Below are 23,297 nucleotides of genomic sequence, written 5' to 3' on the forward strand. Positions count from 1 at the left end.
GGTTACACTGAGCTGAGATCATGCCATTGTACTCCAACCTGGGCAACAGAGTAAGACTCCGTCTCAAAAAAAGAAAAAAAGTAGGGATTGAAATGGAGAAGAGTAGAACTATAGACATAATTTTGTACTTGTCAGGTTCCTTCTTTAAGATTATTTCTGCATAATAAAAAAATACTAATTGACATTTACTTTACCCCCATTATGTACTGTTCTAAGTGATTTAAAAGACTTCTCATTTTAGTCCTCAAAACCACCATATGAGATACAGTTACCATTAGGTACGTTTTACGGGTTAGGAATATAGTCCAAAAGATTTGGTAACTTTCCCAAGTATACACAGTGGCCAGAAGCTAAGTTGAGGGGTTGGTGGGAAGTTGAGGGAGAAGCTAAATTGGGAATCTAAACCTAGGCAGACTGAAAATAGAACATCTTTTGAGTGAAGACACCAGGATTGATACAAGGATCCAAAACCTTGTCACATGAGTTGAAGGAAATTCATTAAAAATGGTTTGAATTAGGAAAGATGATGATTGAGGCTGGCAGGGACATTTAGGCTAAGTGTTAGATCTGTTGTGGCAAGAGTGTGTCGATTTCTTCATGGACTTAAGGCATAGAATGAGTTCCAAAAGCTTATCTTTGATTCAGTATCAAGTACCTTCTCTTTCCTATGTCAGAACTACGTGAACACAGAGTGGCTTTTCTTAGAGTTAAAACTGCCCCCCAGCCCCCATCACCTACGTAAGATCCCACACAGGATTAATATCTATTTAATCGAAATGAGTTAGGTACACTATTAGAGTCCTGAGCTTACATAGTCCTTGTTTGATTTGGAAGAGCCAGAGCTAGCTCCTTCTAACTTCAGGCCCACTTTGGTTTTGAGCAGGCCACTCTTAGTTGGGTAACGGTTCAAGATTTCTTCCCTTAGTTTCTACCTTTTTAATGCTGCCTCACTCTAGGATATGATATTTAATATCATAAATACTAATTCCTGTATTTCTATGGCACAGTGGGTTTTTAAACTTGAGCATGCATCGGAATCACTGAGGGGATTTGTAAATGTAGATTGCTGGACCTCATTTCCAGAGTTTCTGACTAAGGGTCTGAGATGGAGCCCAAGAATTTGGATTTCCAGATGATGTTGATGCTGCTGATCTTGGGACCATACTTTGAGAACCACTGCTGTAGTAGCCTGGCCTACCTTTGATAGATTGAGCTTTTTAAGAGTAAGAACCAGATGTTACTCATTTCTTTGTCCCTCTACTACCTAGCAATACATAGGAGCAGCAGCTTTTTTGTTTGTTTGTTTGTTTGTTTATACTTTTAAGTTCTAGGGTGCATGTGCACAACGAGCTCGTTTGTTACATATGCATACATGTGCCATGTTGGTGTGCTGCACCCATTAACTTGTCATTTACATTAGGTATATCTCCTAATGCTATCCCTCCCCCCTCTCTCCACCCCACAACAGGCCCGGGTGTGCGATGTTCCCCTTCCTGTGTCCAAGTGTTGTCATTGTTCAATTCCCACCTATGAGTGAGAGCATGCGGTGTTTGGTTTTTTGTACTTGCGATAGTTTGCTGAGAATGATGGTTTCCAGCTTCATCCCTGTCCCTACAAAGGACATGCACTTATCCTTTTTTATGGCTGCATAATATTCCATGGTGTATATATGCCACATTTTCTTAATCCAGTCTATCATTGATGGACATTTGGGTTGGTTCCAAGTCTTTGCTATTGTGAATAGTGCTGCAGTGAGCATACTTGAGGAGCAGCAGGTCTTAATTTTATAGAAGCCAGTGTGGACTGTTACTGATTTCTTTGGTCTGATGATATCAGGAAGTTAGGCCTAAAAGTGAAGAACCTGGCTCAGCATGATTGCTTATGCCTGTAATCCAAGCACTTTGGGAGGCCAAGATGGGAGAATTGCTTCAGCCCTGGAGTCTGAGACCAGCTGGGCAACATGGTGAGACCCTGTCTCCACAAAAAGTTTTAAAACTAGCCAGGCATAGTGGCATGCGTCTGTAGCCCCCGCTTCTTGGGAGGCTGAGGTAAGAGGATTGCTTGAGCCTGGGAGGCCAAGGCTGCAGCGGGCATGATCACACCACTGCACTCCAGCCTGGGTGACAGAGTGAAACCCTGTCTCTAAAAACAATAAATAAAAATATGTAAAATTGAAGAACCTTATAAAGCTTTAGGTTCAGGTCAGGTTAGGTTTGTAATACTTACTATTAGGAAATATACGTACAGCCAAGTTACTGATAGAATTTTTACATGGTTTTACTTTCTGATGAAATTTCTTGGCTTTTTTCTTTTTAGAATGTTTCTAGAGAGCTGGCTACATGTAAAAACTAGAATCTGTTTTTTCCTGACTTTTTAATGATCGCCATTCTAACTGGCGTGATATGGTATCTCAGTGTGGTTTTGATGTGCGTTTCTCTAATGACCAGTGATGATGAGCTTTTTTTCATATGTTTGTTGGCCGCATAAATGTCTCCTTTTGAGAACTGTCTGTTCATATCCTTTGCCCACTTTTTGATGGGGTGGTTTGTTTTTTTCTTGTGAATTTAAGTTCTTTGTAGATTCTGGATATTAGCCCTTTGTCAGATGGATAGATTGCAAAAATGTTCTCTCGTTCTGTAGGTTGCCTGTTCACTCTGATGATAGTTTCTTTTGCTGTGCAGCAGCTCTTTAGTTTAATGAGATCCCATTTGTCAATTTTGGCTTCTGTTGCCGTTGCTTTTGGTGTTTTGGACATGGAGTCTTTGCCCATGCCTTTGTCCAGCATGGTATTGCTTAGGTTTTATTCTAGGGTTTTTATGGTTTTAGGTCTTACGTTTAAGTCTTTAATCCATCTTGAGTTAATTTTTATATAAGGTGTAAGGAAAGGGTCCAGTTTCAGTTTTCTACATGTGGCTAGCCAGTTTTCCCAACACCATTTATTAAATAGGGAATCCTTTCCCCATTTCTTGTTTTTGTCAGGATTGTCAAAGATCAGATAGTTGAAGATGTGTGGCGTTATTTCTGAGACCTCTGTTCAGTTCCATTGGTCTACATGTCTGTTTTGGTTACTGTAGCCTTGTATAGTTTGAAGTCAGGTAGCATGATGCCACCAGCTTTGTTCTTTTTGCTTAGGATAGTCTTGGCTATACGGGCTCTTTTTTAGTTCCATATGAAATTTAAAGTAGTTTTTTCTGATTCTGTGAAGAAAGTCATTGTCAGTTTGATGGGGACAGCATTGAATCTATAAATTACTTTGGGCAGTATGGGCATTTTCACAATACTGATTCTTCTATCCATGAGCATGGAATGTTGTTCCATTTGTTTGTGTCCTCTTTTTTTTCGTTGAGCAGTGGTTTGTAGTTCTTTTTGGTGAGGTCCTTCACATCCCTTGTGAGTTGTATTCCTAGGTATTTTATTCTCTTTGTAGCAATTGTGAATGGGAGTTCACTCATGATTTGGCTCTCTGTTTGTCTGTTATTGGTGTATAAGAATGCTTGTGATTTTTGCACATTGATTTATATCCTGAGACTTTGCTGAAGTTGCTTATCACCTTAAGGAGATTTTGGGCTGAGATGATGGGGTTTTCTAAATATACAATCATGTCATCTACAAACAGGGACAATTTGACCTCCTCTTTTCCTAATTGAATACCCTTTATTTCTTTCTCCTGCCTGATTGCCCTGGCCAGAACTTCCAACACTCTGTTGAACAGGAATGGTGAGAGAGGCCATCCCTGTCTTGTGCCAGTTTTCCAAGGGAATTCTTCCAGTTTTTGCCCATTCAGTATGATATTGGCTATGGGTTTGTCATAAATAGCTCTTATTATTTTGAGATACATTCCATCAAAACCTAGTTTATTGAGAGTTTTTAGCATGAAGGGGTTGAATTTTGTAGAAGGCCTTTTCTGCGTCTGTTAAGATAATCATGTGGTTTTTGTCATTAGTTCTGTTTATGTGATGGATTATGTTTATTGATTTGCATATGTTGAACCAGCCTTGCATCCCAGGGATGAAGCCGATTTTGATCGTGGTGGATAAGCTTTTTGATATATGCTGCTGGATTCGGTTTGCCCGTATTTTATTGAGGATTTTTGCATCAATGTTCATAGGGATATTGGCCTGAAATTTTCTTTTTTTGTTGTGTCTCTGCCAGGTTTTGGTATCAGGATGATGTTGGCCTCATAAAATGAGTTAGGGAGGAGTCCCTCTTTTCCTGTTGTTTGGAATAGTTTCAGAAGAAATGGTACCCACCTCCTCTTTGTACCTCTGGTAGAATTCAGCTGTGAATCCGTCTAGTCCTAGGCTTTTTTTGGTTGGAACTTGTTATTGGTCTCAATTTCGGAACTTGTTATTGGTCTATTTAGGGATTCGACTTCTTCCTGGTTTCGTCTTGGGAGGGTGTATGTGTCCAGGAATTTATACATTTCTTCTAGATTTTCTAGTTTATTTGTGTAGTATTCTCTGATGGTAGTTTGTATTTCTGTGGGATCAGTGGTGATATCCCCTTTATCATTTTTTATTGTGTCTATTTGGTTCTTCTCTCTTTTCTTCTATGTTAGTCTGGCTGGCAGTCTATTTTGCTGATCTTTTCAAAAAACCAGCTCCTGGATTGTTGATTTTTTTTTTTTTGAAGGGTTTTTCATCTCTCTATCTCCTTCAGTTCTGCTCTCATCTTAGTTATTTCTTGTCTTCTGCTAGCTTTTGAATGTGTTTGCTCTTGCTTCTCTAGTTCTTTTAATGGTGGAGAGGATGTGAAGAAATAGGAACGCTTTTATACTGTTGGTGGGAGTGTAAATTAGTTCAACCATTGTGGAAGACAATTCCTCAAGGACCTAGAACCAGAAATACCATTTGACCCAGCAGTCCCATTACTGGGTGGTGTATACCCAAAGGATTATAAATCATTCTACTATAAAGACACATGCACATGTATGTTTATTGCAGCACTGTTCACAACAGCAAAGACTTGGAACCAACCCAAATGCCCGTCGATGATAGACTGGATAAAGAAAATGTGGCACATATACACCATGGAATACTATGCAGCCATAAAAAAGGATGAGTTCCTGTCCTTTGCAGGGACATAGATCAAGCTGGAAACCATCATTCTCAGCAAACTAACACAGGAACAGAAAACCAAACACCACATGTTCTCACTCATAAGTGGAAGTTGAACAATGAGAACCCATGGACGCAGGGAGGGGAACATAACACAGAGGGGCCTGTCGGAGGGTAGGGGGCTAGGGGAAGGATAGCATTAGGAGAAATACCTAATGTAGATGACAGGTTGATGGGTGCAGCAAACCACCGTGGCACCTGTATACCTAAGTAACAAACCTGCACTTTCTGCACAGGTATCCAAGAACTTAAATTTTAAAAAAAGAAAGAAAGAAACTGGAATCTTTCCTTTCTCTTTCAGGGAAAATGGAGACTATCGGAATATGCCAGGTTCATGTTCTTATAAGTACTGCAAAATGGCAGAACTTGATGAACTTGTACAAAGATCAGAAAGAGGCCATCATCTAGTCCTGTTAAAACTTAAACTTGGGGCCGGGTGCGGTGGCTCATGCCTGTAATCCCAGCACTTTGTGAGACTGAGGCGGGTGGATCACCTGAGGTCAGGAGTTCGAGACCAGCCTGGCCAACATGGCAAAACCCCGTCTCTACTAAAAATTCAAAAATTAACCAGGAGTGGTGGCACATGCCTGTAATCCCAGCTACTTAGGAGGCTGAGGCAGGAGAATCACTTGAACCCAGGAGGTGGAAGTGGCAGTGAGCTGAGATCACACCACTGCACTCCAGCCTGGCTGACAGAGTAAGACTCCATCTCACAAAACAAAACAAAAAACTTGAGGCCTGACATGGTGGCTCATGCCGGTAGTCCCAGTACTTTGGGAGTCCAAGGCAGGGGGTTGCTTGAGGCCAGGAGTTCTAAACCAGCGTCATGAACATAGTAAGACCCTGCTTCTACAAAAGAAAAACATATTAGCTGGGTGTGGTGGCACGTGTCTGTAGTACCAGCTACTCAGGCAGCTCAGGCTCGGGGATTTCTTGAGCCCAGGAGTTTGAGGCTACAGTGAGCTATTATCGTGTCACTGTACTGCAGCCTAGGTGGCAGAGTGAGACCTTGTCTCAGAAACCAAAACAAAACTTGGGTTAAAAAAATGTAGAGCAAGAGCTTATGTTTTTATCACCCTCCCCAGTCCCCTACTTTCCCAGCTAGCAATGAACGTCTTAATAAGACTTTAACAAGAATAGTTTTGCTCTGGGAAGTCAAATCATGAGTGTATATCATTTAAGTGCCATTACAAATATTCAGTCTCCCATTGCGAATATCTAGATTATAACAGTAATACGTGACTGAATAGATACATAACATATAGTTTATTCTAGAAAAATTGTATATAGCTCCCTCAAAGTAGATGATTGTGGTTCTTGAATGCGGGCTGAACACTTACTTGCCTGACAACCTGCAAGCCATGAAGAGATCCACATCTCCAAGGCCTAGTGGGAATGGGGAGACAGTTCATGCTGATATAGAAACTACCCTGTAGGTATCGCAGTACAGGTGAGAAACCAACATGAAGTAATAACACCTGCTATTTAAGGACACTTCAACCTATTTTACTCTTTCTCTTAGATGATTAACTCAGCAAATTAGGTTTTTCTGTACATTGCATAAAACTTTAGTTGTCTTTGGTAATCATAAGCCATATGGTTTTCTCTCTCCTCAGATACCCAGAAAGCGGTACTCTAGAAATGAATGTCAAGGATCTTAGACCACGAGCTAGAACCATTTTGAAATGGAATGAACTAAATGTTGGTGATGTGGTAATGGTTAATTATAATGTAGAAAGTCCTGGACAAAGAGGATTCTGGTTTGATGCAGAAATTACCACATTGAAGACAATCTCAAGGACCAAAAAAGAACTTCGTGTGAAAATTTTCCTGGGGTAAGATTGTCTTCACTGGTGCCATTTAATTAACTGAATTGATCAAGGAATGTATTTTTAGGTATTAAGCACGTGTACCTTAGTAAAAAAAGATGGAGTCTATAAAAGATGGAAATTTCCATACTGAAGGAGAATATTTTTATAAATTCTTAAGAATTTTTAAAAGTTAAGAATGGCTTAGATCTTCAACTTTAAGGTTGGAGATACTGTTTGGAAGAATGTTGGAAATAACTGAGTGTTTTATTACAGAAATTCTTACTTCCTCATAGGATTCTTATAGATTGAACAAAACAATATATAAAAGCATTTTAATAACTATAATTGCTATGAGGATCTGTGTTGATGTAATAGCAGTGGATGACTACTTAACCAGCTGTCTGCTGGACTTCTAAGACTAGCTGAAATTTTCCTTCATAGTGATTTTTCACCTTACAGAATTTAAACTTAATGAAGAGAATTCAGAATGCAAAATGTCACCTGAATCAAATCCTTCAGATATTTCTATCATTTCTTTCTTTTCTTTTTTTCTTTCTGTCTCTCTCCCTCCCTCCCTCTCTCTCTCCCCCCCCTCCTCCTCTCCCCCTCCTCCTTCTCTCCTCCCCCCCGCCCCTTGTTCTGTCACCCAGGCTGGAGTGCAGCGGCATGATCTTGGCTCACTGTAACCTCTGCCTCTTGGGTTCATGCAGTTCTCCTGCCTCAGCCTCCCAAGTAGCTGGGACTACAGGCGTATGACACCACGCCCACCTAACTTTTATATTTTTAGTAGAGATGGGGTTTCACCATGTTGGCCAGGCTGGTCTCGACTCCTGCCCTCAAGTGATGTACCCGCCTCTGCCTCCCAAAGTGTTGGGATTACAGGTATGAGCCACTGCGCCCAGCTTTCTATCATTAATTTTTTAAGAAATACTTTCAGATGTTTCCCAAAGTGATAAAGTACTAGGCGTTATTTGAGTTACTTTTTTACACTTTGGAAAACATTATCACTCTTTTTCTGTGTCTGCTGCTTCTGAATAATTTGCTGAATAGTCACTAATTTCCTTTTTAATAAATAAAATCTGTTAATCATTTCCAGTTCTTTATTATCAGTAATTACATAAACATCCTTGTATATGCATTTTTGTGCATTTCTTTTCTTTAGAATAAATTGTTAGATTTGTTTTATTGAGTGCCGAGGGTTTTAGAATAACCCTGACAATTTTTGTTTTTAAAAAAAAAAAAATAAGAGAAACAGCTAAACGAATATTTGTGTCAAGTTCTGATTAACTGGATTAGTGATACAAGGTGACAAATCTTGGAACAATGATTAAAAATCTAAAGCGAGGATAGGCAAGCTTATAGCCCACTAGCTGCCTATTTTTGTAAATAAAGTATCATTGGAACACAACAGTGGCCATTAATTTATGTATTATCTGTGGCTATTTTTGTGCTCCACAGTATTGTTGAATAATTGCAACTGAGACCATCTAGCCTGCAAAGCCAAAACTACTTACTTTCTGGCTCTTCGTGGGAAAAGTTTGCTGACTCCTGAGATTTAAAAAAAAAAAAAAAATGATGCGAGGTGTTGAAAACTTAACATTTTAGAGAACAGATTTCAGAACTTCTTACAAACAAAAGTGTGATTCTATTGCTAGACTAAGGGTATAGCTCAGTCACAGACTTCTAAACAACTTGAAACCCTGATATGGATGCAAATCATGAAGAAGGAGAAAGCCCCTAAATAAACTGGCTATGTTAGGAGCCTTTTAACCTACTTGAGTGTTGGAAGTAGAAAGCATGTGTACACAGTAGGATAACAGCACACATAGCATTGAGCTAAAAAAGCTTGCTATTAAAAAAAGATTTCCTGGCTGGGTGCAGTGGCTCATGCCTGTAATCCCAGCACTTTGGGAGACCAAGGTGGGCGGATCATGAGGTCAGGAGTTCGAGACCAGCCTGGCCAATATGGTGAAACCCCATCTCTACTAAAAATACAAAAATTAGCTGGGTGTAGTGGCACGTGCCTGTAGTCCCAGCTACATGGGTGGCTGAGGCAGAGGAATCACTTGAACCCACGAGGCAGAGGTTGCAGTAAGCCGAGATCATGCCATTGTACTCCAGCCTGGGCTACAGAGCGAGACTCTGTCTAAAAAAAAAGTTTTCCCAAGTGATCCTGAGGTATAGTTAAGAGTGGGAACACACTGGCTTTAGAAGTGGAACTGAGACTGAGTGGGCCAGGTGCCGTGGCTCACGCCTGTAATCCCAGCACTTTGGGAGGCCAGGGTGGGTGGATCACCTGAGGTCAGGAGATCGAGACCAGTCTGACCAACTAGTGAAACCCTGTCTCCACTAAAAAATACAAAATTAGCTGGGTGCGGTGTTGCATGCCTGTAATCCCAGCTACTCGAAAGGCTGAGGCAGGAGAATCACTTGAACCTGGGAGGCGCAGATTGCCGTGAGCTGAGGTCATGCCATTGCACTCCAGCCTGGGCAACAAGAGTGAAACTTCGTCTCAATAAAAAAAAAAAGACTTGAGTGGAAATTATGGATAGGCAAATACCGGCTTGATAAAGAGAATGGTTATGTGATAGCTATCCCAACAGTACAATAAAATGTAAAGTATTATTCTTTGTCATTAAAGTTTTTACTAGAAACGTTAGGAACACAATAGCTAAAAAGGAACCAGTGTGGCTTATGGATAGAATTTTTTTTTTTTTTTGGGAGATGGGGTCTCGCTCTGTTGCCCAGGCTGCATAGCAGTGGCACAATCCCGGCTCACTGCAACCTCCGCCTCCTGGATTCAAGCAGTTCTCCTGCCGCAGCCACCGGAGTAGCTGGAACTACAGGCGCATGCCACCATGCCCATCTCATTTTTTGTATTTTAGTAGAGACAGGGTTTCACCTTGTTGTCCAGGCTGGTTTCGAACCCCTGAGCTCAGGCTATCTGCCTGCCTCAGTCTCCCAAAGTGGTAGGATTATAGGTATGAGCCACCGTGTCTGGAGAAAAAAAATTTTTTTTTTTAATGATTAGAAATCTTTCATCCTCACTGGTAAGAATGGATAAATAACAGGTTGAAAGAACAAATGCATTCTGCTGTTGATAGGCATTTTGGGGCTGTTAGAAACAGTGCTGCCATCAGGTTCTTGTACCTATACCTGTATCCTGGCACTTGTGTGCATTAGTTTCTGTAGGATGTATCATGCCTAGGATTAAAATTACTAGGTTGTAGAACCTGTGCATCTTCAACTTGAGTAGATAGAACCAAGTGTCTGTACCAGGTTACAGTTCTGCAACAGTATGAGAGTTCCTGTTGTTAGTTTTCTCATCCATGCTTAGTTTTTTCAGACTTCAGTTTCCACTAATCAGGTGGGTATGTAATAGTATTTCATTTTGGCTTTGATTTGCAATTCTCTGACTCCTAGTGGGGTTGAGAATCTTTTCGTATTTTTATTGACAAGTTGGATATATCTTTTGTGAGGACCTGGTTCCAATTTGGTGACTTTTTTTGTTGTTAATTAAATAATGTGTCTGATTCATTTTTAGGAGTTCTAATTACGGAGACTAGACTATTTCAGTTATATGTGGCAAAAATACTTTTTCTAATTCTGTGGCTTGTCTTTTTCTCCTTACGATGTTTGAATAGTAGTTTTCTTAATTTTAATGCAGTTGAGGTTATCAAAGTTCAAGAAAGTTTTTTTTTCCTTTATGCTTGTACTTTCTATGTCTTTCTTAAAGATACTCTTGTATTACCTTCTAAAAGCTTTGTGGTTTTGCCTTTCTTTAGGTCTTTAATTGACTTGGAGTAGATTTTTGTGTACAGTGTGAGTGAGGTAAGGGTCTAATTTAACTCAATACATATGAATAAACATTTTTCCTAGCACTGTTTATTGAAAAGCCCATTTCCCTCCCATTGATCTTCAGTATCACCTCTGTCATATCAAGAATCTTATATTTGGTGAATCCTTTTGACTTCTCTATTCTGTACCATGGGTCTGTTTTTTGTGTATCTTTGTATCAGTTCCACACTTTCATAATACAACAGAGCACATGATCCTGCCTTGTTCTTCAAGTAGGTTTTATATGTTCTTAGCTCTGTGTACTTCCATTTGAATTTTGCAGTCATCTTTTCTCTTTCTGGTATATAGGAATACAAGTATCCTTTGATCTTGGACTCAGTAGCTTTACTAGATTTACTAATTTTAATTTACATGTAGATTGTTTCAAAATGTTTGGAATTATAATCATCTGTGAATTATTACATTTTTGTTTTGTCTTTTTCTTTACTTTTGATTTCTTCTTCTTGTCCTTATTCACCAGTTGGGCCCTGAATTACATTGTTGAAAATAAGTAGTGATAACAGGCATCTTTTTCCCCTGCTTTCCAAGAGAAAACATATAAAATTTCATCAATAACTACAATGTTTGATATAGGAATTTTGTAGATATGCTCTCCTAGATTTGGTTTGACAGTGTTTTGTGTAGGATTTTTACATTTGTATTAATGCGTGAAATTTACATGTTAATTTTCCTATCTCAGTGTCCTTCACGGATTTATGCTAGTTTCACAAAATAATTTGGAATCTTCTTTTTCTTTCTTACGGTAGAGTTTTGTGTCCTTGTCTTGAATGTTTGGTAGAACTTCTCAATAAAGTCATCTGGGGCTGAGTTTTCTTTGTGGGAAAGTTCTTTTATGGTCAGTTCGGTTTCTGTAATGATCAGAGGACTATTCATGTTTTCTATTTCTTGAACTAAAATTTAATTTTCTAGGAATTTATCTATTGCATCTAAATTTTAAAATCTGTTGTCATAAATTTTTTTGGTACCTACATCTTTTTAATGTGTTAATCTGTTACGATGTTTTTTATTTCTGAATTTAGTTTGTGACTTTTTGACCATTCTCATCAGAGGTTTATCGGTTTTATTAGACTTTTACAAAGAACTAACCTTCAGCTTTGATCCTCTCTATTGTATTGAAGGTGCAAAGGAAGAAGCAAATAGAGGACATGATTTTTAATCTGCCTTGGAGATTTGATAAGGGAACTTGGAGTTAAAGTTCATGCTTGTTTCTGTTTTTAATTTGTGAGTACCAAAAAGTACATATGCTTGAACTGTCTAATTCTAGTTATCAAATTCTATTTTCATGTTGTCATTTTCTATTTATTTTAGCTTTGAAAAAAATTGAAAACAAGTTTGGGATTCAAAAACATTTTTTAAAATAATTTGTTCACTTACTACTGTAATATAATATTTACTACCATGTGAAGTTATGCTGATTTAGATATTTGTAAGTAAAGTAGTATTTGAATCCTATAGGAAGAAAATTAATTTACCTTATTAAAACTACAGATAAAGGCCGAGCATGGTGGCTTGTGCCTGTAATCCTAGCACTTTGGGAGGCCAAGGTGGGCGGATCAGTTGAGGTCAGGAGTTCGAGACCAGCCTGGCCAGCAGGGTGAAACCTCATCTCTACTAAAAATATAAAAATTATGGCCAGGTGTGGTGGCTCACGCCTGTAATCCCAGCACTTTGGGAGGCTGAGGCGGACGGATCACCTGAAGTCAGGAGTTCTAGACCAACCTGGGCAACGTGGTGAAACGCCATCTCTACTAAAAATATAAAAATGTTAGCTGGGCATGCTGGTGCACGCCTGTAATTCCAAGTCCTTGGGAGGCTGAGGCAGGAGAATCACTTTAACTCAGGAGGCTGAGGTTGTAGTGAGCAGAGATCACGCCACTGTACTCCAGCCTGGGTGACAGAGTGAGACTCTATCTCAAAAAAAAAAGGAAAAAAAAAAAAAAAAAAAAAGCTACAGATGCATTTTAGGTTCAGTGTCATTTTTACAGAGTTTTATGTATTTACTAAATTTTTTTCATACTTAAGAAATTTCTATAGTGATATACTTCTTATTGAACATGGCTTCTTACAGAATATATACTTAATATGCATATCAAGTTGTAAGTCACTGGTCACTGTGCTTCGGCCATGCTGGCCTCCTTGTGTTGCTTGATCACGCAAACATGCTCCTGCCTTGGGGCCTTTGTACTTGATGTTCCCTCCTACACAGATACTCATTTGACTTACTCTGTCTCTTATTTCAGTTCTCTGCTCAAAAGTATCTTCAGAGTTACCTTTCTTAATCACCCTTTTTAAAATCACATACATACCAGACATAAGCTACTTAAATTCTCCCTTACTCTGACTTTTTCTGAATTCTTTATTTTATTTATTATCACCCCATTTGTATTTAGTTTCCTATTGCTGCTACAACAAATTACCACAAACATAGTAGCTTAAACAATAAAGCATAGTACAGTTTGGAGGTTAGAAATCTTAAATGGATTTGAATTTCACTAGGCAAAAATCATTGTTAGCAGGGATATGATTCAGTTTTGTAGACTCTAAGGGAGAACCCATTTTCTTGCCTTTACCATGTTTCAGACGCCTCCCACATGCCTTAGCTTGTTACCTGCTTTCTCCACCTTCAAAGCCAACGATGTTGCTTCTCTTTGACAGTTCTTTTTGTGGCTACATCCCCTTCATATTCTCTCCTCTGCCTCCCCTTCCCCTGTGATTATATTGGATCTGCGTGGATAATCTTCCCATTTCAAGGTTTTTTATATGCAAAGTCTTTTTTGCCATATGAGGTAACGTATTTATAGGTTCCTGGAATTAGGACATGAACCTCTTTGGGGCCCATTGTTCTGCCTGTCATACCACTGGAATGTTAATGTTTTGTTTGTTTTGTTTGCTGTTGTGTGCCAGGCCTTGTTCTAGGCACTAGTTACAATAGATTTTCAGTACGGTATTTCATAGATTCCGAGAGAATAGTTTTTTTTTTTTTTTTTTTTTTGGTATTTTAACATCTCTGAAATAAAAATGTATCTTAAATTTGCTGTTGGGCTGACAGAAGTTGAATTCTTTCAAAGATTTGAATTTGCTTGTTTACTAGTCACTTGGGAGTGCCATTTAACTTTAACTTAAATACTCTGCTTGAGCCTTTTTAGACCACATAGGTAGCATGAATTCAGGCCTCTGAACCGGACTGAATCCTAGCTTATCATTTAATTCTTGGAGGATGCTTTTTTTTCCTTATACCCAGTGGCAGTATTGAAACAAGAATTTTTTCTATCTGCAAGGTGTGGTTTATTTCTCATTTTAACTGTGAGAATGGGTTGGTGTCTAAGCTTTATTTGAAGGTGTTCCTTAGACACCTCATCACAGTCTTTTTTTCTTACTTGAAATTACATAATGTGTCTTATAGTTGCTGATTACCATTTAGTGTCCCAGCTTTATTTGGGAATTCTTAGACTGCCTGATTTCAGTCTAGTTTCTTTTTTATTAGTACATAAATTGTTTTTACAAGTATCGGCCTATTAGATTCAGTGAAATAGGATATTTCTTGGGGAATGAATTGATTATATGCATGTTTTTATTATGATCAATGGCATTTAGTTTTGTGCATAAAGAGTGTCTTGATAAGCCTTTAACAAAAATGGTACATAAGTGAAAAAGTGGCTTTGGCCTTGAATTTGTGACATTTATTGAATCACTTAAAGTAGTACATGGAAAGCACCTGTTTGCAGGTAGGGTGGGACAGCTGGCAGTAGATTAGTGCTTTTAGCTAAAACAACTAAATAGCCCGATCAAATAGTCATCTCTTTGAATGCACCAGAGAATCAAAGAGAACCAACTGCGGGTATGTCTCTGGAGAGGTAAGAATCTCATAAGGCAGGTAGCTTTGTAGTTGTGTTTTGCCCCTAGGGAATCTGCTAATTCTGGATGCAGTGTAAAATCTAGTTCAGAGCAGCTAGGAGTAGGATGGAAAAAGTCAGCAGAGTTTTTGGCAGATATTTGGGATGCCTCAAGCATATGGCCTGCTTTCACCTTTGGGCTTTGGTTGAATACTGGACTTCTGCTGGACAAGAGGCTGGAAATGTAGTAAAAAGTGGCATTTTCAGCAGTCTTAGAAGGCATACACTGGATTTTAGGGTAACTGGTGTAATGGCTCCACAGAATATGTAGGTCTTTTAGTTTGAAAAGTGGATGGCTAAGGCATACAGGTAGACTAAATCTTACTTAAAGACTGTAAACCAGCCTTGACTCAGCATAGATGCTGATTAAATGTTAAACCACCACATTATCTCTCCAGCAGTAGGAAGGTTGAACTTTCCTTTATATAAGATAATATCTGAAGCTTTTGGCTCCATGACGGAGGCAAAAATGCCATTCTGCCAAAAGACGGTGCCACATAATCAGAAAACAGAAGGAATACCAATTATGGGAATAGACCCATAGGTGATCTTGATAATTCAAGTTATCAGAGAAACTTTCAAGTAACTGTGATTAATATGCTGAAAACATGGTGAATTTCAGCTGAGAATTGGAATTCACAAAATAATTATATGGAGATTCTAGAACTGAGAATTATAGTTTCCTAAGACCTTGTTAAATTGATTTAATAACAAATAAGGGCCAGGCACCATGGCACACGCCTATAATCCCAGCACTTTGGGAGGCCGAGGCAGGTGGATCATGAGGTCAGGAGATCAAGACTATCCTGGCCAACATAGTGAAACCCCGTCTCTACTGAAAATACAAAAATTAGCTGGGCGTGGTGGCAGGTGCCTGTAGTCCCAGCTACTCGGGAGGCTGAGGCAGGAGAATCACCTGAACCTGGGAGACAGAGGTTGCAGTGAGCCAAGATTGCGCCACTGCACTTCAGCCTGGCGACAGAGCGAGACTCTGTCTCAAAAAAAAAATTAAAAAACATAAAAAAATAACAAATAAGACACAGCAGAAGATAGGATTAGGAAACCAGAAGATAAGTCAATAAAAACTACCCATACTGAAACATGTACAAGAGTGTTAGACACATAGGACTTGATGAAAGGTGTGTGTGTGTGTGTGTGTATGTATATATATACACGTATATACATACATATACACACATATATGTGCATATATACGTGTATATATATACACGTATATATACACACGTATATATGTGTGTATATATATGTATATATGTGTATATATATATTTATATTTGGAATTCCTAAAGAAGAGAGTAGAGTGAAAACAGTATTTGAAAATATAGTAGCCCAAAATTTCCAAAACTGATTAAAGATACAAGTTCAGGTCAAAGAAGTTCTGTAAATTCTAAGCAGGATAAATATAAAGAAAATGCACAGTGGTATATCACAAACAAGAATGCTAAAAACTAAAGATAACACAGTGAAGATGACCAAGTTTTCATTAGAAGCAATTTAAGCTAGGAGACAGTGGAATGGCATGTGAAAATACTAATTTAAAAACATTCCCAGCTGGGCGTGGTGGCTCACGCCTATATAATCGCAGCATTTTGGAAGGCCAAGGCGGGCAGATCACTTGAGGTCAGGAATTCAAGACCAGCCTGGCCAACATGGCAAAACCATGTCTCTACTAAAAGGAAAAAATTTAGCCATACGTGGTAGTGCACACCTGTAACCCCAGCTATTTGTGAGACTGAAGCAGGAGAACTGCTTGATCCTGGGAGGTGGAGGTTGCAGTGAGCTGAGATCGTGCCTAGGTGACAGAGCAAGACTCCATCTCAAAAAAAAAAAAAAAAATTTCCCAACTTAAAATATCTTTTTCATGAAGATACCTGTCAAAAATAAAGCCAAAATAAAAATATTATCAAATAAAACCTGAAAGAATTCACCATCAACAGACAGGCACTAAGAGAAATAATAAAGGGAGTTATTTAAGTGGGAGGAATGAGATTCCCGATGGAACATCGAAATATGGGACAGAATTAAGAGCAGGGAAAGGGTAAATGTATGAGTAAGTATAAATAATTTTTTTTAAATAGTGAACTTTAAAATATACATAGAAAAAAAATGCGTGACAACAATAATGCAGAAGATGGGGTTGGTAAATGAAGTCGTGAGATTCTGGCATCATTGGGGAAGTAGTGAAAGTAAAATTTAAAGTAGATTATATCAGGTTTGCACAGTCCAATCTCTAATGCAACTACTAAAAATAAAGGATTTTTAACAAATTAACACACTGAAAGTGAAAAAATAAATATTAGTCTAATCCAAAATAAGGCAATTGTGACTAAAAGAAGCAGATAAAGTAGAAAACATACAGTAAAATGGCAGAAACAAACACAACTGTATCAGCCTTTATATTAACTGTGAGTCAAGCATTTCAAGACAATGATCAACAAACTAGATTAAAATAAAAAAATCCACATGCTACTCTTAAGAAAGACTCCTTAAATATAAAATCACAGAAGTTGAAAAGAGGTGGATGGTTGGGATTGTAAGAAGATGACAACAGCAAAGACTTTTCAAATCCCCTTAAATGTCCTGGTAATATAGAGCAAAATATTACTAAATTATCTAATTCACAAACTCATGGACAGCATCTACAATGAAACAGGGTGGTATGGTATCATAACCCCCAAATAGCTGGTGGGATAAACAGTGGAAAGCTTCAAGACCTGTGTAGTATCAGTGGCTGTGCAGGAGAAATATGTGTTGGGCCCAAGAATTCCAAATAATGAATTAGCTCAGCAAACTAATTTGAAAATAGCAGCTATGGTAGCCATCTTTTAAGGTAACCCCCAGTGATTCCTGCTTACTAATACTCACCCTCATGTGGTTTTCAGCCATACTTCACTAGGGTGGCTCTTTGTGACCAATAGAATATGGTGTAAGTGATGCTGTACCACTTCAAGATGAGGTTTTAAAAAGATACCAGCTTCCATTTTGGGTGCGCCCTCTTGGATCACTCCCTCTGAGGGAAGCCAGTTGCATGTGATGAGGCTATCCAGGCAGCTTTTTTATTTTCCCTGAGTAGAGCCTTTAAATGAGACTGCACCCCTGACCAATGGCTTAACTGCAATCTCATGAAAGATCTTAAGCCAGAACTACCCAGCTAAGCTACTCCCAGATTCCTGACCCACCCCCATATGAGTAAGTACAAGCAGTTTGCAGTAAGATCTGAAGGGGCTAGAGTACTCTTTAAACTCTTTAAATTGGTCGGTTAAAGCTCCATTCCAGGACTAAAGCTCTATATTGAGAAGAAACTGGTGGGAATAGGTTCCAAACTAAGTAGGACCAGGAGAATAGAGACAAAGGAAAAAGGAGTCCGGTTAGAAATAGGGGAGGAGAATATAGCCAAAAGATTTCAGTAAGTAAGCTTCCATGCTGTCTTTTTAAAATTGTTTTTGAGGTATAACTTACATACAGTAATATGTACTTACCCTTAAGTGTATCTTAAATACAGTGAACATTGACAAATGGATATACGCATGTCACCACTAATCAAAACACAATGTTTTCATCACTCCCAAAAGTTCCCTTGGGTCCCATTACAGTTACCGCTACCATCTGTAGCATTGGTCCCAGACCACCACTGATTGGCCTTCTATCAGATTAGATTTTAGTCTCCAGAATTTTGACTCTTTCTCCAAGAAATGTGTACTCTAGCTGCTAGCAAAAAGTGAAGTTAGACCCTTTAAAGGGTTTAGGAAATTTATCTTATGAAAATAAGCGAAAGGATCGATGTTAAATTCTGTATGAAGTTAGAAGAGAGTGAGAAAATAAGGAACAGTATAACATGCTTACAAGGAAAACATTCCAGAAAAGCATTAGTCAAGTAAAGGAGAGCCAAGGATTTTAAGTCAAGCCAAACTAGCCTTTAGTATAACAGCTATAGACAAATTGTCATTAACTTCCAAAACTGGGGGAATATTGTTCTCATGAACCCTTCCTAAGGAATCTTCAGGAGAACTAGGTTCAGACAATCAAGATGACTGAAGATAATTTGAAATAAAGAGTTGCGCTAAACATTTAAAATATTTTTACATTTAGAAACAGAACTAACTGAACATAAAGGAGAAAGTATAGTATGTACTGGCTCTATGACCTGACACAGTTAGCTATATTATAACTAAAACGTAGAAGGGAAATATGCAAAAAATTTAAAGTGTTTTCAGTAATTGACAGCTGGCAACAATGTCTTGCGTGTAATGTGGGATAAAGCAAAGGAGTATTTGTAATATTCTAATTTTGGTGTCCTTAAGAACTGGGATTTTTCTGGTTGGGGGAAAAAGGAAAAAAGACACATAATTTTTTTAAAAAGTAAATATCCTTTAGCCCTGAATTTGAATATAAAATACTAGCATGAACTCATGAGATGTTTTGTGTTTGAGTGTGTATATTAATGTGTATGTTTAAAATGTATAGGGTACAAACAGTAATCAACCTAGTTGCAGTAAGCTTTCCTAGTACCTAACTATGGTCTCGAAATACCTTTCCCACTGAAAGAAACTCCTGGCTGGGGGCAGAAAATGGGCAAGATGAACCTGGAATATCTTGTCATGCAAATAAGGAGTCCCACAAAGTCTGCTAAGTTCTCGTCAGAAGGATTTGGGAGTCAACTGGAAGCTCCCACTGGTCAAAGATGAGACAATTTGAACATTGATAAGAAAAATAAAGTGGGTTGAGACATACCAAATATATTTAAATCCATGAGTCCATAGTAACACAGTCAGTATGGAAGTTGTTAGAGAATGATTTATTTTTAAAACTGCTAAGTCAGCATTTTATCTTTGTTATATGAGCTATACTACTGGGTCACCAACTAGTTTAGTGAGGTCATTTCTCTGTAAAATTGTGCCAAGTAAATGAGATGAGAAAGGAATGATAGAATGGGAATATCAACATTTTCTAATCCCCAAAGAATTAATGTAGGCATTGAGCATTAGTAGCTGCCGTCAGGAGAGGAAAAGAGATAAATAAATAGGTACTTCCTGATGGAAATAGACCTATGAAATTATCTTACCAAGAAAATGAACCTAAATCTGATTGAGACTGAGTCTTTAGCCCAGGAGTTGGCAATATTTTTCTTCTGTAAAGAGCCGGATAGTAAATAGTTTAACATGGGGGCCAGATGGTCTGTCACAACTACTTAACTCCCCTGTTAACAGCATGAAACCAGCCATAGATAATACAAAAATCAGATGGCATAACTAAGTTCTAATAAAACTTTATTTTTAAAGTTTTTTGACCTACGCTCCAGATCAGCTACCAATGTACAAGAAATGCGAATGACAGAAAAAACTGTTTAACCCATACTTTGGGAATGCAAATATCAAAAATCAACACTGTGAGAAACACTATAGGACAAATGGTTGGACTTGTTAACAGATTTCAAGGAGGAAAGAGATGGCATGTGAATTTATAGATTAGAGACTTTTCAAACACAGGCAAAACTGTTTTAGGGAGGTAGACAAGTGACATGAAAAAAATTAAGGTAAATATAACTTCGGAGGACATGAAGTTGTCATTGTGAGGGGACAAGGTGAGGGTTTCTGAGGTAGTTGATATTCCTATGTCTTCTGTCATTGGTGGTCACAACGGATGTGCATGTTGATAATTGGTTAAGCTATGCATTTATGCAGTTTTTTGCATTTGTGTATATTTGACATTGAAAGTTTTTAAAGAAAAGGTGGAAGGATGGAAAAAGTCTTCAAGCAAGTGCTAACCAAAAGAAAGTAAACTTTTGATTCAGAATGCATTACTAGAGATAAGATATTCAGTAAGATTTAGGCTTCTTAAATCTGTAGCTAATAAAGCAAAAGCCAACAGATTAAAAGGAGAAATGGGCTGGGTGTGGTAACTCATGCCTGTAATCCTAGCACTTTGGGAGGCCGAGGCGGGCAGGTCACCTGAGGTCAGGAGTTCGAGACGAGCCCAGCCAACATGGTGAAACCCTGTCTCTACTAAAAATACAAAAATTAGCCGGGTATGGTGGCGCAGGCCTGTAATCCCAGCTACTTGGAAGGCTGAGGCAGGAGAATTGCCTGAATACAGGAGGTGGAGACTACAGTGAGCCAAGATTGCACCACTGCACTCCAGCCTGGTGACAGAGCGAGACTCCATCTCAATAAATAATACAAACAAACAAATAAATAAATGGAGAAATGTACAAATCCACACCCGTAGTAGGAAACTTTGAAGAAGTATATACAAACAAATATGAATTGAGTCTGACAAGTATGGTGTAGTATTTGAAAGACTTTATGAAAAGGGCATCTTATTTTTGCCTAGAAATTATATTTATTGGAAATTTATTTTTTGTAGATTTTTTAAATAAATTGTTACAGAATTATCCCATATAATTACATTTTCACAAAAGTATATAAAAATATATTGCTTACATAAAAGAAATGTTAAAATTCTACCAAAGGACAAAACAAACAGAAAACATACCTTATTTCTTGATAGAAAGGTTTAATATTGCACAGATTTAACAGGAAGTTATTTAAATCTTTCATTTTAATTGACAGAGTGCCATTTTATCTAGTCTTTAAATTTACAAGTTAGCTACTTCTTACCAGATTATCTAATGAAGTCTGTATTTTTTTTCTCATATTACACTATGAATGTTAACTAATCACTATGGACTTTTCCTACTATTGAAAACAATAGTTCAGAATGATTGGAATAGCTCTAATCTCAATTTATAAATAGACAGATTTCAGTGAGATTCCAAACTGGCTTTTAATTATTATTTGTATATACCTTAGATTTTGCTGGCAGAAGTTAACCTTTCTTCCTTTTTTAAACAGGGGTTCTGAAGGAACATTAAATGACTGCAAGATAATATCTGTAGATGAAATCTTCAAGATTGAGAGACCTGGAGCCCATCCCCTTTCATTTGCAGATGGAAAGTTTTTAAGTATGGATTTTTGTTTTTGGTCTTAGACTACATGTGTTGTACATGATTGAACTTTATTTTTACTGGTCAGTGAATAACTTGGAAGGAAGTATAAAACTGTAGACCATACAAATTTATTTTCAAGACAACAGTTTTGATCTAAGATTCATTTTGTTTTAATGAATTTTTCCTAAATGATTAAGTGTTATTTTTGAAGAAATATATTATCTTGGTATTTTATTGCTATTATTTTATTTTAAAAATATTTATGGATATATAATAGTTGTAGATATTTAAGGAGTATATGTGATATTTTGATACAGGCATACAGTGTGTAAATGATCAAATCTGGGAAACTGGGATATTCATCACCTCAAACATTCTATCATTTTTTGTGTGTGTTGGGAACATTCTAAATCTATTCTTTTAGCGATTTTGAAACATACAGTAAATGTTAACTGTAGTCCCCCATCGTGCTTCTGAATACTAGATTTTATTCCTTCTGTCTAACTGTATCTTTGCACCCTATAGCCAACCCTTCTTTATCCCCTGTCCCACTTCCCTTCCCAGACTCTGATAACCATCATCATTCTATTCTCCACCTGCACAAGATCAATTTTTTTTGGCTCCCACATATGGAAGAGAACATGTCACATTTGTCCTTCTGTACTTGGCTTCTTTCACTTAACATAATGTTCTCCAGTTTCATCCATGTTGTAAATGAAAGGATTCTATTATTTTTTATGGCAGAATAATATTTTATTGTATATGTATATACCATATTGTCTTTTTATCTGTTGATGCGTTTCTTGCTGTTTCTTCTGTTATAGATTCTGTCCAAAGAAAAAGCCTGTTTCTGTAATTTTGTTAGCCACCCAAGTTTAGTTTTTAATAATGAGATTTATTTTTACACGAGTAAAGCCTTAGAATTATAGTGCTGATTGAGCCTTGAATTTCTGGGAGGTAATAAATGAGGCTTATATAAACATTTGAAGGTTAGAATGCAGCTGTACCTCTTCATTTAACGGATTTTTCTTACTTGATATCAAATATTTGGTAACAGAGACAGGATTAGATTCTAGGTCTTTTAATTCATGATGGGGCTTTTTTTGTTTGTTTTTTGTTTTTTGTTTTGAGACAGTTTTGCTCTTGTTGCCCAGGCTGGAGTGCAGTGGCGCAATCTCGGCTCACTGCAACCTCTGCCTCCCGGGTTCAGGTGATTCTCCTGCCTTAGCCTCTCGAGTAGCTTGGATTACAGGCACCCACCACCATGCCTGGCTAACTTTTGTATTTTTAGCAGGGACGGGGTTTCACTGTGTTGGCCAGGTTGGTCTCGAACTCCTGAGCTCGTGATCCGCCCAACCCAGCCTCCTAAAGTGCTGGTATTACAGGCATGAGCCACCACGCCCGGCCTCAGGCATTTATTCTTAAAACCTCACACTTGATTATTCTTTTTGGTTCCTTTCTTTTCATTAGAAAAGCTGTATGCTGGCTGGGTGACAGCAGTTTGGGAGGCCAAGGTTGGTGAATCACCTGAGGGGTCAGGAGTTTGAGACCAGTCTGGCCAACCTGGTGAAACCCTGTCTCTACTAAAAATACAAAAATTAGCTGGGTGTGGTGGCAGGCGCCTGTAATCCCAGCTATTCCGGAGGCTGAG

General features: G+C 38.1%; 1 protein-coding gene across 12 annotated transcripts in view; it reads left to right on the forward strand.

Moving 5' to 3' along the window:
* Positions 1–23,297, forward strand: part of UHRF2 (ubiquitin like with PHD and ring finger domains 2) — a 93,856-nt gene that overhangs the window by 40,641 nt on the left and 29,918 nt on the right. For 10 of the 12 annotated variants that reach the window (NR_046386.2, XR_428418.5, XR_007061241.1 and 7 more), the window contains 2 exons: positions 6,734–6,952; positions 21,552–21,661. Coding sequence is in view for 6 of the 12 variants with exons in the window: in NM_152896.3 (NP_690856.1) it covers positions 6,734–6,952; positions 21,552–21,661 (329 nt within the window). In the remaining 6 variants the exon portion in view is untranslated. Of the gene's footprint in view, positions 1–6,733; positions 6,953–11,904; positions 12,008–21,551; positions 21,662–23,297 lie in introns of those variants that run through there. The other 2 variants (XM_047422749.1, XM_017014253.2) reach the window with 2 other exon arrangements.

The sequence above is a fragment of the Homo sapiens genome, chromosome 9 (assembly GCF_000001405.40).
Source record: "Homo sapiens chromosome 9, GRCh38.p14 Primary Assembly".
In the NCBI taxonomy this organism is placed as follows: Eukaryota; Metazoa; Chordata; class Mammalia; order Primates; family Hominidae; genus Homo; species Homo sapiens.